This window comes from Homo sapiens, chromosome 4 (assembly GCF_000001405.40).
Source record: "Homo sapiens chromosome 4, GRCh38.p14 Primary Assembly".
Classification (NCBI taxonomy): Eukaryota; Metazoa; Chordata; class Mammalia; order Primates; family Hominidae; genus Homo; species Homo sapiens.
This window is the reverse complement of record NC_000004.12, coordinates 106,118,390-106,135,127: the sequence shown is the minus strand read 5'-3', so window position 1 is coordinate 106,135,127 and position 16,738 is coordinate 106,118,390. Positions and strand designations below refer to the sequence as shown.

The following is a 16,738-nucleotide window of genomic DNA, read 5'->3' as shown; positions in this document are numbered from 1 at the left end:
CATCTTTCTCAAAATGGCCAGCACAGGCTAGTTCATCAACTATTTGTCAATTAATGATTACCCAACATTTAGATGATATTAAGACGATTTTATCAGGAAATTAAACCTGCTTCATTTGGGATCCAATTTTAATAACATTTTATGTAAAGATCTACAGTCTACCAAGCACTTTAGATTGACTGTACTGGTTGATTCTCACAGTATTTTTGTGAGGTAAATAGAAGAGCAGCATCATTCTCATTTTACAGCTTAGGAAAGAAAAGTCAAGAAGGTAGGTGCCTACCACCCACTCTGTCAGTACTACCATCTCTCTCCCTACTTCTCACCTGCTCAGAGAGGTACAAGGTAAATTAATGTCTTCTGCTGAAGTAGACATTCCACTGCAATGTAGAATGTCACCCATGCCTTATTTTAGGTATGCCCAAATCTCTACAATGATTGTCCTGGGAACTACACATTTGCCTTGCAAGGGGAGAATTTGAGTGGCTAAAAATGCCCACTACTCTAACCTATAGTTTAGGAATGGAAGTACATCGTATCTTAAATACTGTGTTTTCCACAAAGTCAATTCCCCACTTCCCCAAACCTATCTCCTTATAAAGGATAGGAGGAGAAGGGATGTTGGGGTGACAGTCAGAAGTAGTAGAGTCACTCTGTCCCTTCTCAGTTAGTCCTTGGACAGATTTTGTTGGTAGCTTCACTTATAGCAGACTAGCATAGTATAGCCTTTTAGGGACAACATCACTCAGCATGCTTTTATACATACATTCATTTATCAAACCTTTTAGCACCTTCTCTGTGCAGGATGCTATTATAATTACCACAGAATATGCAAATGAAATATAAGGAATTTAAGCTGTTGGTGTACCTGGCTCTCTGTGGTCATTAGCATGTTTCTATTAATCCAGTTTCCCTCCTAGAAACATTATACGTCACTTTAAAAAAAAATCTCAGAGTTTTACTTTTATACATTGTCCTCAAAACAAAAAGTGTACTGTCATTATGTTGAAACAAACTATTTAGTACCTAGTCAGCTATTTGAAAGATGTTACCTGCCTTACCAATATGCCTACTTTGGCTTTTTGTTTTGTTTTTTTTTTTGTTTTTGTTTTTGTTTGAGACGGAATCTCACTCTTGTTGCCCAGGCTGGAGTGCAGTGGCATGATCTGCATTCACTGCAGCCTCCACCTCCCAGGTTCAAGCAATTCTCCTGCCTCAGCCTCCTGAGTAGCTGGTATTACAGGCACCCACCACCATGCCCGGCTAATTTTTGTAGTTTTGGTAGAGATGGGGTTTCATGTTGGCCAGCCTTGTCTCGAACTCCTGACTTCAAGTGGCCAAGGCCCACATCGGCCTCCCAAAGTGCTGGGATTACAGGCGTGAGCCATCACGACCAGCCTAAATATTCTTACATGTAGCCAATGGGCCCTTTTCTCTAAATTCTAAATATGTTTTGTGAAAATGTAGATAAACATCAGTTTATTTAAAAATTTCTTCATGTAAATGGTAGAGTAGGCCTTACCAATGAAACATTTCAGTGAACCTAAAACATTTTTTATTGACTTGTGTATGTTATCTTTTGTGTGTTTTCCAGCCTTGAATGCATGAAAGCCTGTCCTATTTAATGATCTCTTTTTATCATTTTTGGACTTTTTCTGTGTATTAGTCTGTTCTCAATCTACTAATAAAGATATACCCAAGACTGAGTAATTTATAAAGGAAAGAGGTTTAATTGACTCACAGTTCCATTTGCTGGGAAGGCCTCACAGTCATGGTGGAAGGTGAATGAGGAGCAAAGTCACATCTTACATATCAGCAGGCAAGGGGAACTCCCATTTATAAAACCATCAGATCTCATGAGACTTATTCACTACCATGAGAACAGTATGGGGGAAAGGACCCCCATGATTCAATTATTTCCACCTGACCCCACCCTTCACACTTGGGGATTATTACAGTTCAAGGTGAGATTTGGGTGGGGACACAGCCAAACCATATCATTCTGTCCCTGGCCCCTCCCAAATCTCATGTCCTCACATTTCAAAACCAATCATGCCTTCTCAACAGTCCCCCAAAGTCTTAACTCATTTCAGCATTAACTCAAAAGTCCACAGTCCAAAGTCTCATCTGAGACAAGGCAAGTCCTTTCTGCTTATGAGCCTGTAAAATCAAAAGCAAGTTAGTCATTTCCCAAATACAGTGGGGGTACAGGCATTGGGTAAATACACCCATTCCAAAGGGGAGAAATTGGCCAAAACAAGAGGGCCACAGGTCTCATGCAAGTTCAGACTCCAATAAGGCAGTCATTAAACTTTAAGTTCCATAATGATCTCCTTTGACTCCATGTCTTACATCCAGGTCACATGATACAAGAGGTGTGCTCCCATAGCCTTGGGCAGCTCTGCCCCTCTGGCATTGTAGGGTACAGCCCCACTCCCAGCTGCTTACATGAGCTAGCATTGAGTGTCTGTGGCTTTTCCAGGCTCACAGTGCAAGCTCTCAGTGGATCTACCATTCTCAGATTTGGAGGACTGTGGCCCTCTTCTCACAGCTCCATTAGGCAGTGCCCTACAGAGGTCCTCCATGAGAGCTCTGCCCCAGCAGCAAACTTTTGCATGGACGTCCAGGTGTCTCAAACATCCTCTGAAATCTAGGCAGATATTTCTAAACCTCAATTCTTGACTTCTGTGCACTTCTGTGCAGCACAGGCCCAACACTACATGTAAGCCACCAAGGCTTGGGGCTTGCACCCCCTGAAGCAAAGCCTTGAGCTGTACATTGGCCCCCTTTAGCCAGGGCTGGAGCTGAAGCAGTTGTGTTGCAGGGCACCATGTCATGAGGCTTCATAGAGCAGTGGGGCCCTGGGCCCCACCCACAAAACCATTTTTTGCTCCTAGGCCTCCAGGCCTGTGATAGGATGGGCTGCCATGAAGGTCTCCTACATGCCCTGGAGACATTTTCCCCATTGTCTTGGTGATTAACATTTGGTTCCTCATTAGTTATGCAAATTTCTGCAGCTGGCTTGAATTTCTTCCCAGAAAATTGGTTTTTCTTTTATCACATTGCCAACCTTCAAATTTTTCAAACTTTTTTGCTCTGCTTCCTCTTGAATGCTTTACAACTTGGAAATTTCTTCCACCAGATACCCTCAATCATCTCTATCAAGTTCAAAGTTCCACAGATCTCTAGTGCAGGGGCAAATGCTGCCAGTCTCTTTTCATAGCAAGAGTGATCTTTACTCCAGTCCCAAGAAGTTCCTCGTCAACATCTGAGACTACCTCAGCCTGGACCTTATTGTTCATATCACTATCAGCATTTTGGTCAAAGCCATTCATAAGTCTCTAGGAAGTTCCAAACTTTCCCACCTTTTTCCATCTTCTTCTGAGCCCTCCAAACTGTTCCAACTTCTGTCTGTTACTCAGTTCCAAACTTGCTTCCACATTTTTGGGCATCTTTACAGCAGCACCACACTCTACTGGTACCAATTTGCTGTATTTTTATTTATTTATTTTTTGAGATGGAGTTTTGCTTTTGTTGCCCAGGCTGGAGTGCAGTGATGCGATCTTGGCTCGCTGCAACCTCCGCCTCCTGGATTCAAGCAATTCTCCTGCCTCAGCCTCCCAAGTAGCTGGGATTACAGGCATGCGCCACCATGCCCAGCTAATTTTTGTCTTTTTAGTAGAGACGGGGTTTCTCCATCTTGGTCAGGCTGGTCTCAAACTCCCAACCTCAGGTGATCCGCCCGCCTTGGCCTCCCAGAGTTCTGGGATTACAGGCATGAGCCACGGCGCCTGGCCTACTGTATTAATCTCTTTTCATGCTGCTAATAATGACATACCCAAAACTGGGTAATTTATAAAGGAAACATGTTTAATTGACTGACAGTTCCACATGGCTCGGGAGGCCTGTCATGGTGGAAGGCAAATGAGGAGCAAAGTCATATCTTACATGGCGGCAGGCAAGAGCTTGTGCAGGGGAACTCCCATTTACAAACCCATCAGATCTCGTGAGACTTACTCACTACCATGAGAACAGTATGGGAGAAACCACCCCCATGATTCAATTATCTCCACCTGGCCCTATCTTTGACATGTGGGGATTACTACAGTTCAAGGTGAGATTTGGGGGGGACCCAGCTAGTCCATATCAATCTGAATTTAAAGATAATATTTATTATCTTTTTAACATCTCTGCATGTTTTTCAGTGCCAGATCTATTACCTATTATAAGTATAGTCATGACTTCTCATTTGGAAAGTCTTTTTACATTGCTGTAAACATTTCATCAGAATTATCTTAAAACAATTAGATTCATAGTTATGAAGTATTTAAGAGAGTTTAATAATGCTGATTGAAAACAAGTTGCATATTTTTATGTTTTTAATTATTCAAAAGTAGCTCATCATTAATGAATAAAACCTAAACACAGAAAATCAGGAAGAACAAAAATAAAATTAATTCCACTACTCAGAAATAACCACTTTTGCAGTTTCTGTGTGGTGTGTGTGTGTGTGTGTGTGTGTGTGTGTGTGTGTGTGTATTTAGCGCAAAAGTGGTCCATAATTAATTTATAGTATTACAGGGTCTTTTTTCCCTTGATAATATATAATATCCCCTTAATAATATATCCTGAACATTTTCTTCATTAGGAAATATTTTTTGTAAACATAGTTTTAATTGGTGAATGGGATTTCTTTACATGAGTTCAGTGCTATTTATTTGTTCTATCCTCTTTTATTGTGTATTAACATTATTTTTGTTTTTCACAATTTAAGAAAAACAGTATGTTTGATAAATGTTTTTTCTGTGCAACTTTTTATAATCTGTGACTGTCCATAGAACAAATTTCTAAGAAATTTCTAGATTAAAAGATGTGCATATTTTAATACATATTACACATTTTTCTCCAGAAGTTAATGTTGATTTATACATTCACTAGGTATCTCTTTCCATCACCAATAATTAGTACCCTCAAATTAGGACACTTAAAATGAATTTATTTAGAGATGGTAATTACAAGATGGTACTTTGGGGGGAAATGAAAGCAGTAATGGAGTAAATTATGGATATTAGCTACAGACCTGTTACCACCCCTAGTTAAGGGAATAAGTGGTTACCAGAAGATAGATAAGAGAGGCAAGTAGAGAGCACTGTCTTCAGAAGCACAGTGACCTTTGGTCAAGGGACACAGCCAAGCCAATATACTAGGGGAATGAATACTGTGACCTCACTCTTCCTATTGTCTGTACCCATTTTAAAGCAGAGGATTGAAAGTCCCTCTTGACGCAGTCTAAACAGGTTGCCACATAGGGCAGAAAGCAAGGTGGAGACCAGTGGAGAGTGAATCTGGAGGGACAAACAGAAGATAACCAGAATACTTACCTACTTTTTGTATTTCTATGACTGTAAATACTTCTTTATATTTCTGTGATTATTAATGACGTAAAACATTTTTATTACCTATTTGTGTTTCTTCTTTTGTCAAGTATATGTTTATATCTCCCCTTTTTTTTGACAAAGCAGGATTTTTATTTGTTACAAGAAGGACATCTTAAATTTGTATTCTTCACATACATTACTCTTCTTTAAGAATTCATCTTTGCTATACACGTAAATGTTTCAAGTCATCAATACTTTTTCTTGTTCTTTTGTAATTTCATTTCTTTATACTTAAGAAGTGCTTCATCTAGCTGTAAGCCATTATCCTCAGCAAACTAACGCAGGAACAGAAAACCAAACACCGCATGTTCACTTATAAGTGGGAGCTGAACAATGAGAACACATGGGCACAGGGAGGGGAACAACACACACTGGGGCCTGTCCAGGGGGCGGAGAGAGGGAGAGCATCAGGATAAATAGCTAATGCATATGGGGCTTAATACCTAGGTGATGGGTCAATAGGTGCAGCAAACCACCATGGCCCTCTTTCCTATGTAACAAACCTGCACGTCCTGCACATGTATCCTGGAAATTGAAATAAAATAAGTGCTTAGTCTATATAAATCATTTTTCTGTATTATGTAAGATAGAAACACAGTTTTACTTTCTTCCAGTTAACAAGTTATCCCAGTACTATATTCTAAATAATAAAGAACAAAATAAAAGAATAGAATGATGCCATTTCAAATCATCACCCAGTGATTTGACATGACATCCTTTTCTTTTCCAAATATTTATATGTATTTGAGTCTGCTTCTGTGCATTCCATTATATCCAATTAATCTTTTGGTCTTTCCTGATGCAATATCATACGATGTTAACTTTGTACATTTTTAATATATGACAGTGTGTTTTATTTATTATTTTCCAATATTTTCTTGGCATTTTTGTCTAGTTTGTCAAATAAACTTCAAAATTTAAGTTTCAAAATAGAAAATATGATTTATTTTAGGATTTTGATTATACTTATATACATTACCCTAAGGAAAAATAAAGTTTTTATAATATTGAATCTTTCTAGAAAGCATCTAATATCCCCTCTCCTTATTTTTTCAAATGTCTTGCCTGAAACTATTTCATTTTCTTTAAATATAAGGTTAATTCTAGGTAGTTTATTTTGGATGAATATTGTGATATCATGAATGTAAGCTTTTGTCTATTATATTTTCTGCCTACTGCTGCTGTATAGAAAAGCTAATCATTTTGTTGTGTGTATGTTGTAACTAAACCCTAATGAAATTCTTTGCAGTTTTATTGGATTTTCCTCGGATTATTCTGGGTTTTCTAGGACTATATGCATCTTGATTTCAGTAACTCTGCTTCTAGTGATTCATTGATAAGTAGAATGTCAAATGTTTAAGATAAAGAATAGCTGTCTCAAAAAACATGTTTCATTCTAATTAAGTGTTCTTCTGGTATGCTCTACAATGGGGTTTTCTTTTTCTAAAATTGGGAGTCGATGTGAATTTGTATCACATCTGGCCTTATGTAACTTATAGTGTTGATTACATATTTGTATCCTTTGACCAATTAAGTTGATGAGCTATATTTAAAATTTTCCTAATATTGAATCATCTTTCATTCCTGAAATATGTCCTAAGTCATTTTTATGGAAGTATTAAAAACTGCTATTGCATTCAGCCTCTAGAGTTTTTAGAGTTTTAAAATCTGTTTTTCTAAGGAATACTGGGTGGGGGTGGTGTGTGCACGCATGTGTGTGTACGCGTGTGTGTGTGTGTAGTGCTATCCTTGTCAGATTTAAATATTAGCTTAAGGCAGCTTCATAAATAAAATGGCCTGGGGCACTTTTTCAATTTTTTTTGCCTTTGAGCAGTTATTATATCATGAGAATTCCCTATACTTTGAAAATAAGATAGAATTGTTTGGAAAAAAATTGTGCTTGGCATCTTTCTTCAGCGTAATCATTTGAAAACTTTAAAATTTTAGCTATATTTAAAAAGGCCTATTGAGGTTTTCTATGACTTTCTGACTTTTGAACACATACACACACACACACAAACATGCACACACACACATGAACACACCCCAGTTGATTCAGGTGTACTTAGGCCTATGAACATGTAGGTTTTCTGAGGTTTTCTACTATTTGGGGAATATTTGGATCAATATTTTTTAATGTATTATAGAATTGTACAGAGTATTGTATTTTTTAAATATTTCTGTATGCTTATATATGTTCTCATAATATGATTAAAAATGAGAAAGAAAAAGAATATAAAAACACAGTTTTTCTGATTTGTAATTTCTCTCCCTCTCAGACACATGCACGCACTCAGTCCATTTACAGATTTTTGAACTTTGTTTACCCCAAAATGTCAACACTAATATTTGTCTGTTTTTCTCTTCGTTGATATATTTATTAAATTATTTTGCCTATTTTCCTAAAGATGGTTTAGGATTTTTTGTTTATTTTTGGTCTCCTTTATATTCACCTAACTTCTTTTTTTTTTTTTTTTTTTTTTGAGACGGAGTCTTGCTCTGTCACCAGGCTGGAGTGCAGTGGCACGATCTCAGCTCACTGCAATATCCGCCTCCTGGGTTCAAGCGATTCTCCTGCCTCAGCCTCCCGAGTAGCTGGGATTACAGGCACATGCCACCACACCCAGCTAATTTTTGTATTTTTGGTAGAGATGGGGTTTCACCACGTTGGCCAGAATAGTCTCGATCTCCTCACCTTGTGATCTGCCCGCCTCGGCCTCCCAAAGAGCTGGGGAATACAGGCATGAGCCACCACACCCAGCCAACTTCTTTCAGTTAATTAGAGCACAGTTTTGAAAGCTTTAAATGGTAGCAACTGTCATCTCCAGTTTTTCAGTTGAGGAAACAAAAGATGACTTTGTTGACAAATTATTGAGGCAGACATACATTTTAGTGTTCTTTATTAACCATCATGGTGCTCAGATGCCAGAGAGCATGTGATGACTTTGCCATCCCTGAAGAGTTTGTCTGATAATCCAGACATAAGAATTGATTCTGCTCTGCAGAATCATTTAATCATATTTTTATTCACTCATTCATTCATTCATCAAATATCCATTGAGTTTTTTTGTTGCAGACCTTGTGCTAGCTTTTCGAGATACAAATATGAAAACACGTGGAACCTCCATTCAAGGAGACTGTAAGTCAAGTGGAGAAATAGACAATATCTCACAAATAGTAATTACTATAATAGAGGTACTTGCACAGTTTTCGTTACATATACATACCTCATAGCACAATGTTACTCATGAACAGTAGATGATTTGGAAATACTATTTTATTCCTTTATAATCAATATATATATATCTTAATACTTTCTGTGTGTCAGATAATACACTGGGTCCTGAGGAAAATAAGGTATAAAAATAATTTTTTCATGCTTGAGAAGCTTTTAGTCTAGTGGGAAATGACTCATCTCATTATAATAAAGATGTATACCAGATACCTGTGAAGACATAGAAGAGAAACTTTGTCAGTCAGGAGTTAAAAAGAAAGGCCTTCTTCACAGAGAAAGTAGTGTTTGAACTGAGATTTGAAAGGCAAGCAGGGATTTATTAAATGCACAGGTTGTGGCTTTCTAAGCGAAGGAACAACATGTGCAAAGGCACAGTGGCGTGAAAAGGCAAGTAGTGTGCTAATGCTAAAGCATAAGGGACAAGATGGTGAGGGGTGAGAAAAGAGGTATAAGATAAAAATTTATAGAGCACATATCTTGCCAGACGCCATTCTAAATACTTTATATAGATTTACTCCATAAGTCTTTATCGTTGCTTTGTGTTGGAAATATTTCAAATCTAGCTCTTTTGAAATACACAATAAATTATTGTTAACTATAGTCACTCTTCTGTGCTATTGAGTACTAGAACTTATTCCTTCTATCTAACTGTATTTCCATATTCATTAACCAGCCTCTCTTCATCCCCATCTCCCACAACACCACCACCTCCACCCCACCACTCTCCCCCTATGTCCCAAACCCACCCTGTCCACCTTTCCCAGCAACTACTGTTCTACTCTCTACTTCCATGAGATCAACTTATTTAGTTTCCACATACGAGTCAGAACATGCAATATTTGCCTTTCTGTGCCTGGCTTATTTCACTTAACATGATGACCTCCAATTCCATCCATTTTGCTGAAAATGATAGGATTTCATTCTTTTATTTTATTCATTTATTTATTTATTTTTGAGATGGAGTTTCGATCTGTTATCCAGGCTGGAGTGCAGTGGCACAATAAAATAATGGGATTACAAGCATGGGCCACCTCACTCGGCAGGATTTCATTCTTTTTTAATGGCTGAATAGTAATTCATTGTGTATATTAATAAATATATATTTTCTTTATTCATCCATTGATAGACATTTAGGTTAGTTCTGTATCTTGGCTATTGTGAATAGCGCTGTAATGAACATGGGAGTGCATATTTCTTCGATATCCTCATTTCCTTTCTTTTGGGTATATACCCAGCAGTGGGATTGCTGGATCATATGGTGCAACTGCTTTTAGTTTTTTGAGGAACCTCCATGCTGTTTTCCATAGTGGCTATACTAATTTACATTCCCACCAACAGTGTACTAGCATTCTCCTTTCTCCACATCCTTACTAACGTCCATGCTTTTTGCCTTTTTGATAACGGCAATTTTAACCCAGGTGAGATGATATCACATTGTGTTTTTTTTTTTTTTTTTATACTTTAAGTTTTAGGGTACATGTGCACATTGTGCAGGTTAGTTACATATGTATACATGTGCCATGCTGGTGCGCTGCACCCACTAACTCGTCATCTAGCATTAGGTATATCTCCCAATGCTATCCCTTCCCCCTCCCCCCAGCCCACAACAGTCCCCAGAGTGTGATATTCCCCTTCCTATGTCCATGTGATTTCATTGTTCAGTTCCCACCTATGAGTGAGAATATGCGGTGTTTGGTTTTTTGTTCTTGCGATAGTTTACTGAAAATGATGATTTCCAATTTCATCCATGTCCCTACAAAGGACATGAACTCATCATTTTTTATGGCTGCATAGTATTCCATGGTGTATATGTGCCACATTTTCTTAATCCAGTCTATCATTGTTGGACATTTGGGTTGGCTCCAAGTCTTTGCTATTGTGAATAATGCCGCAATAAACATACGTGTGCATGTGTCTTTATAGCAGCATGATTTATAATCCTTTGGGTATATACCCAGTAATGGGATGGCTGGGTCAAATGGTATTTCTAGTTCTAGATCCCTGAGGAATCGCCACACTGACTTCCACAATGGTTGAACTAGTTTACAGTTCCACCAACAGTGTAAAAATGTCCCTATTTCTCCACATCCTCTCCAGCACCTGTTGTTTCCTGACTTTTTAATGATTGCCATTCTAACTGGTGTGAGATGGTATCTCATTGTGGTTTTGATTTGCATTTCTCTGATGGCCAGTGATAATGAGCAATTTTTCATGTGTTTTTTGGCTGCATAAATGTCTTCTTTTGAGAAGTGTCTGTTCATGTCCTTCGCCCACTTGTTGATGGGGTTGTTTGTTTTTTCTTGTAAATTTGTTTGAGTTCATTGTAGATTCTGGATATTAGCCCTTTGTCAGATGAGTAGGTTGCGAAAATTTTCTCCCATTTTGTAGGTTGCCTGTTCACTCTGATGGTAGTTTCTTTTGCTGTGCAGAAGCTCTTTAGTTTAATTAGATCCCGTTTGTCAATTTTGTCTTTTGTTGCCATTGCTTTTGGTGTTTTGGACATGAAGTCCTTGCCCATGCCTATGTCCTGAATGGTAATGCCTAGGTTTTCTTCTAGGGTTTTTATGGTTTTAGGTCTAACGTTTAAGTCTTTAATCCATCTTGAATTGATTTTTGTATAAGGTGTAAGGAAGGGATCCAGTTTCAGCTTTCTACATATGGCTAGCCAGTTTTCCCAGCACCATTTATTAAATAGGGAATCCTTTCCCCATTGCTTGTTTTTCTCAGGTTTGTCAAAGATCAGGTAGTTGTAGATATGCGACGTTATTTCTGAGGGCTCTGTTCTGTTCCATTGATCTATATCTCTCTTTTGGTTACTGTAGCCTTGTAGTATAGTTTGAAGTCAGGTAGTGTGATGCCTCCAGCTTTGTTCTTTTGGCTTAGGATTGCCTTGGCGATGTGGGCTCTTTTTTGGTTCCATATGAACTTGAAAGTAGTTTTTTCCAATTCTGTGAAGAAAGTCATTGGTAGCTTTATGGGGATGGCATTGAATCTGTAAATTACCTTGGGCAGTATGGCCATTTTCATGATATTGATTCTTCCTACCCATGAGCATGAAATGTTCTTCCATTTGTTTGTATCCTCTTTTATTTCCTTGAGCAGTGATTTGTAGTTCTCCTTGAAGAGGTCCTTCACATGCCTTGTAAGTTGGATTCCTAGATGTTTTATTCTCTTTGAAGCAATTGTGAATGGGAGTTCACTCATGATTTGGCTCTCTGTTTGTTGTTGGTGTATAAGAATGCTTGTGATTTTTCTACATTGATTTTGTATCCTGAGACTTTGCTGAAGTTGCTTATCAGCTGAAGGAGATTTTGGGCTGAGACAATGGGGTTTTCTAGATATACACTCATGTCATCTGCAAACAGGGACAATGTGACTTCCTCTTTTCCTAATTGAATACCCTTTATTTCTTTCTCCTGCCTAATTGCCCTGGCCAGAACTTCCAACACTATGTTGAATAGGAGTGGTGAGAGAAGGCATCCCTGTCTTGTGCCAGTTTTCAAAGGAAATGCTTCCAGTTTTTGCCCATTCAGTATGATATTGGCTGTGGGTTTGTCATAGATAGCTCTTATTATTTTGAAATACGTCCCATCAATACCTCATTTATTGAGAGTTTTTAGCATGAAGGGTTGTTGAATTTTGTCAAAGGCTTTTTCTGCATCTATTGAGATAATCATGTGGTTTTTGTCTTTGGCTCTGTTTATATGCTGGATTACATTTATTGATTTGTGTATATTGAACCAGCCTTGCATCCCAGGGATGAAGCCCACTTGATGATAGTGGATAAGCTTTTTGATGTGCTGCTGGATTCGTTTTGCCAGTATTTTATTGAGGATTTTTGCATCAATGTTCATCAGGGATGTTGGTCTAAAATTCGCTTTTTTTGCTGTGTCTCTGCCAGGCTTTGGTATCAGGATGATGCTGGCCTCATAAAATGAGTTAGGGAGGATTCCCTCTTTTTCTATTGATTGGAATAGTTTCAGAAGGAATGGTACCAGTTCCTCCTTGTACCTCTGGTAGAATTCAACTGTGAATCCATCTGGTCCTGGACTCTTCTTGGTTGGTAAACTATTGATTATTGCCACAATTTCAGCTCCTGTTATTGGTCTATTCAGAGATTCAACTTCTTCCTGGTTTAGTCTTGGGAGAGTGTATGTGTCGAGGAATTTATCCATTTCTTTTAGATTTTCTAGTTTATTTGCGTAGAGGTGTTTGTAGTATTCTCTGATGGTAGTTTGTATTTCTGTGGGATCGGTGGTGATATCCCCTTTATCATTTTTTATTGTGTCTATTTGATTCTTCTCTCTTTTTTTCTTTATTAGTCTTGCTAGCGGTCTATCAATTTTGTTGATCCTTTCAAAAAACCAGCTCCTGGATTCAGTAATTTTTTGAAGGGTTTTTTCTGTCTCTATTTCCTTCAGTTCTGCTCTGATTTTAGTTATTTCTTGCCTTCTGCTAGCTTTTGAATGTGTTTGCTCTTGCTTTTCTAGTTCTTTTAATTGTGATGTTAGGGTGTGAATTTTAGATCTTTCCTGCTTTCTCTTGTGGGCATTTAGTGCTATAAATTTCCCTCTACACACTGCTTTGAATGTGTCCCAGAGATTCTGGTATGTTGTGTCTTTGTTCTCGTTGGTTTCAAAGAACATCTTTATTTCTGCCTTCATTTCGTCATGTATCCAGTAGTCATTCAGGAGCAGGTTGTTCAGTTTCCATGTAGTTGAGTGGTTTTGAGTAAGATTCTTAATCCTGAGTTCTAGTTTGATTGCACTGTGGTCTGAGAGATAGTTTGTTATAATCTCTATTCTTTTACATTTGCTGAGGAGAGCTTTACTTCCAAGTATGTGGTCAATTTTGGAATAGGTGTGGTGTGGTGCTGAAAAAAATGTATATTCTGTTGATTTAGGGTGGAGAGTTCTGTAGATGTCTATTAGGTCTGCTTGGTGCAGAGCTGAGTTCAATTCCTGGGTATCCTTGTTGACTTTCTGTCTCGTTGATCTGTCTAATGTTGACAGTGGGGTGTTAAAGTCTCCCATTATTAATGTGTGGGAGTCTAAGTCTCTTTGTAGGTCACTCAGGACTTGCTTTATGAATCTGGGTGCTCCTGTATTGGGTGCATATATATTTAGGATAGTTAGCTCTTCTTGTTGAATTGATCCCTTTACCATTATGTAATGGCCTTCTTTGTCTCTTTTGATCTTTGTTTGTTTAAAGTCTGTTTTATCAGAGACTAGGATTGCAACCCCTGCCTTTTTTTGTTTTCCATTTGCTTGGTAGATCTTCCTCCATCCTTTTATTTTGAGCCTATGTGTGTCTCTGCACGTGAGATGGGTTTCCTGAATACAGCACACTGATGGGTTATTCTAGTTATACATTCTTCTAACTTTTTTTCAAAGTTTTCAACTTCTTTGCCTTTGGTTTGAATGTCCTCCCGTAGCTCAGAGTAATTTGATCGTCTGAAGCCTTCTTCTCTCAGCTTGTCAAAGTCATTCTCCATCCAGCTTTGTTCCGTTGCTGGTGAGGAACTGCGTTCCTTTGGAGGAGGAGAGGAGCTCTGCGTTTTAGAGTTTCCAGTTTTTCTGTTCTGTTTTTTTCCCATCTTTGTGGTTTTATCTGCTTTTGGTCTTTGATGATGGTGATGTACAGATGGGTTTTTGGTGTGGATGTCCTTTCTGTTTGTTAGTTTTCCTTCTAACAGACAGGACCCTCAGCTACAGGTCTGTTAGAATACCCTGCCGTGTGAGGTGTCAGTGTGCCCCTGCTGGGGGGTGCCTCCCAGTTAGGCTGCTCGGGGGTCAGGGGTCAGGGACCCACCTGAGGAGACAGTCTGCTGGTTCTCAGATCTCCAGCTGCGTGCTGAGAGAACCACTGCTCTCTTCAAAGCTGTCAGACAGGGACATTTAAGTCTGCAGAGGTTACTACTGTCTTTTTGTTTGTCTGTACCCTGCCCCCAGAGGTGGAGCCTACAGAGGCAGGCAGGCCTCCTTGAGCTGTGGTGGGCTCCACCCAGTTCAAGCTTCCCAGCTGCTTTGTTTACCTAAGCAAGCCTGGGCAATGGTGGGCGCCCCTCCCCCAGCCTCGCTGCCGCCTTGCAGTTTGATCTCAGACTGCTGTGCTAGCAATCAGCGAGACTCTGTGGGCGTAAGACCCTCCGAGCCAGGTGCGGGATATAATCTCGTGGTGCGCCGTTTTTTAAGGGGGTCCGAAAAGCGCAATATTCGGGTGGGAGTGACCCGATTTTCCAGGTGCATCAGTCACCCCTTTCTTTGACTCGGAAAGGGAACTCCCTGACCCCTTGCGCTTCCCCAGTGAGGCAATGCCTTGCCCTGCTTCGGCTCGCGCACGGTGCGCGCACCCATTTACCTGCGCCCACTGTCTGGCACTCTCTAGTGAGATGAACCCGGTACCTCAGATGGAAATGCAGAAATCACCCATCTTCTGCGTCGCTCAGGCTGGGAGCTGTAGACCCGAGCTGTTCCTATTCGGCCATCTTGGCTCCTCTCACATTGTGGTTTTGATTTGCATTTCTCTCTTTATTAGTGGTGTTGACCATTTTTTTTTCCATGTACCTTTTGGCCATTTGTATGTTTTCTCTTGAGAAATGTTTATTCAGATCATTTGCCCGTTAGTAAATTAGATTATTTTATTATTGCTATTGAGTTCCTTATATATTCTGGTTATTAATCCCTTGTCTGATGGAGAGTTTGCACATATTTTCTCCCATTCTGCAAGTTGTCTCTTTACTGAGTTTATTGTTTTCTTTGCTGTGAAGAAGCTTTTTAGAATGTTGTAATTCTATGTCTAGTTTTGCTTCTGTTGCCTGTGCTTTTGAGGTCTTATCCAAACAATCATTTCCCAGACCAGTGTCCTGAAGCATTTCCACAATGTTTTCTCCTAGTAGCTTTATAGTTTCAGGTCTTATATTCAAGTCTTTAATTCATCTTTATCTGATTTTTGCATATAGTAAGAGATAGGGGTCTAGTTTCATTTTTCTGCATATAGATATTCAGTTTTTCTAGCACCATTTATTGAAAAGACTGTCCTTTCCCCTACTGAAAGTTCTTGGTGGCTTTGTCAAGAATCAGTTGGCTGTAAATACATTGATTTATTTCTGGGTGGACATCTAAGTTTAACATGCAGTGTATGTAAAGGCTTTTGGGCAGAAATGATAAATTGATGGACATTTCCAGTGTTGTTTTATAATTATCCTAAATCTTGTCCATTACCTGTAAACAAAGTCTCATGAATTTGAAACCCCCATTCACATAAGGAAAATGTGATATAGACACACAATATCTATAATACTAAATAAGACAAAAGTTGTACAGTTTTACTTTTATGCCTCTAAGTGGAAATTTTAAATGACTAGTAAATTTGCTTATAAAAGTATGAAAAACTAAATTCTCTGTTTTTAATATTGTAATTATTTTCTTCATAAAGCAAAGTAGTATAATTTTTTCTAAATTTAATTTACTAATCTCCTAAAATTCATTTGCAGAAGAACTTGTATACATTAAAGTTCTTTACACATACACATTCACAGAAGTTTAGAACATTTAAATTTGTCAGCAATTCCTCTCCTTCTCTTCTTACCATTTCATATAGCAATACTCTTTCCTTTGAAAAACTCCTCCCATATGATACATTTGATTGGAACTAATGCTTAGGTCAAATCTTTATTTAAACCACTCAGTTCTTCATAAAGAATACTTTGGACAAATCCTCTTCTTAGTCAGGGCACTCTTTTCACTCAGGTGAAACTTCAGTTTGAAATGCCGCATTCATCACAAAATGACTAAAAGTGGAACTGGGCTAATCAAAAAGTTCTTTATTTTATCTTCATAAATGTATGACTTCATGTGAAGGCTGGAAAAAATACCTGTAGAGATTGCAATCTAATGAAAAAGGAGATGGAAGCATTGATTGTATGGCTTGCTGATTTCAAAACCCTTTAATCTTTCTGAAGCACTTTTAATTTCAGGATGTTTAAGTAGCTTTAATTCTTAATATTAAAAAATTAAGATTCTTAATGCCTATTTTTTATTAAAAGCTATAAACCCATAAAGCT

General features: G+C 38.5%; 1 protein-coding gene across 17 annotated transcripts in view, besides 1 other annotated feature; it reads left to right on the top strand.

Moving 5' to 3' along the window:
• TBCK (TBC1 domain containing kinase) overlaps positions 1-16,738 on the top strand; it is a 275,085-nt gene that overhangs the window by 181,556 nt on the left and 76,791 nt on the right. The gene's annotated exons all lie outside the window — the stretch shown is intronic.
• Positions 14,271-14,870: an enhancer, noted in NCBI's record as "NANOG-H3K4me1 hESC enhancer chr4:107041415-107042014 (GRCh37/hg19 assembly coordinates)". NCBI's record gives its function as "activates a minimal SCP1, AML or CMV promoter by ChIP-STARR-seq in naive and primed H9 embryonic stem cells {active_cell/tissue: H9 hESC(naive and primed)}" and the evidence as "EXISTENCE:reporter gene assay evidence [ECO:0000049][PMID:30033119]".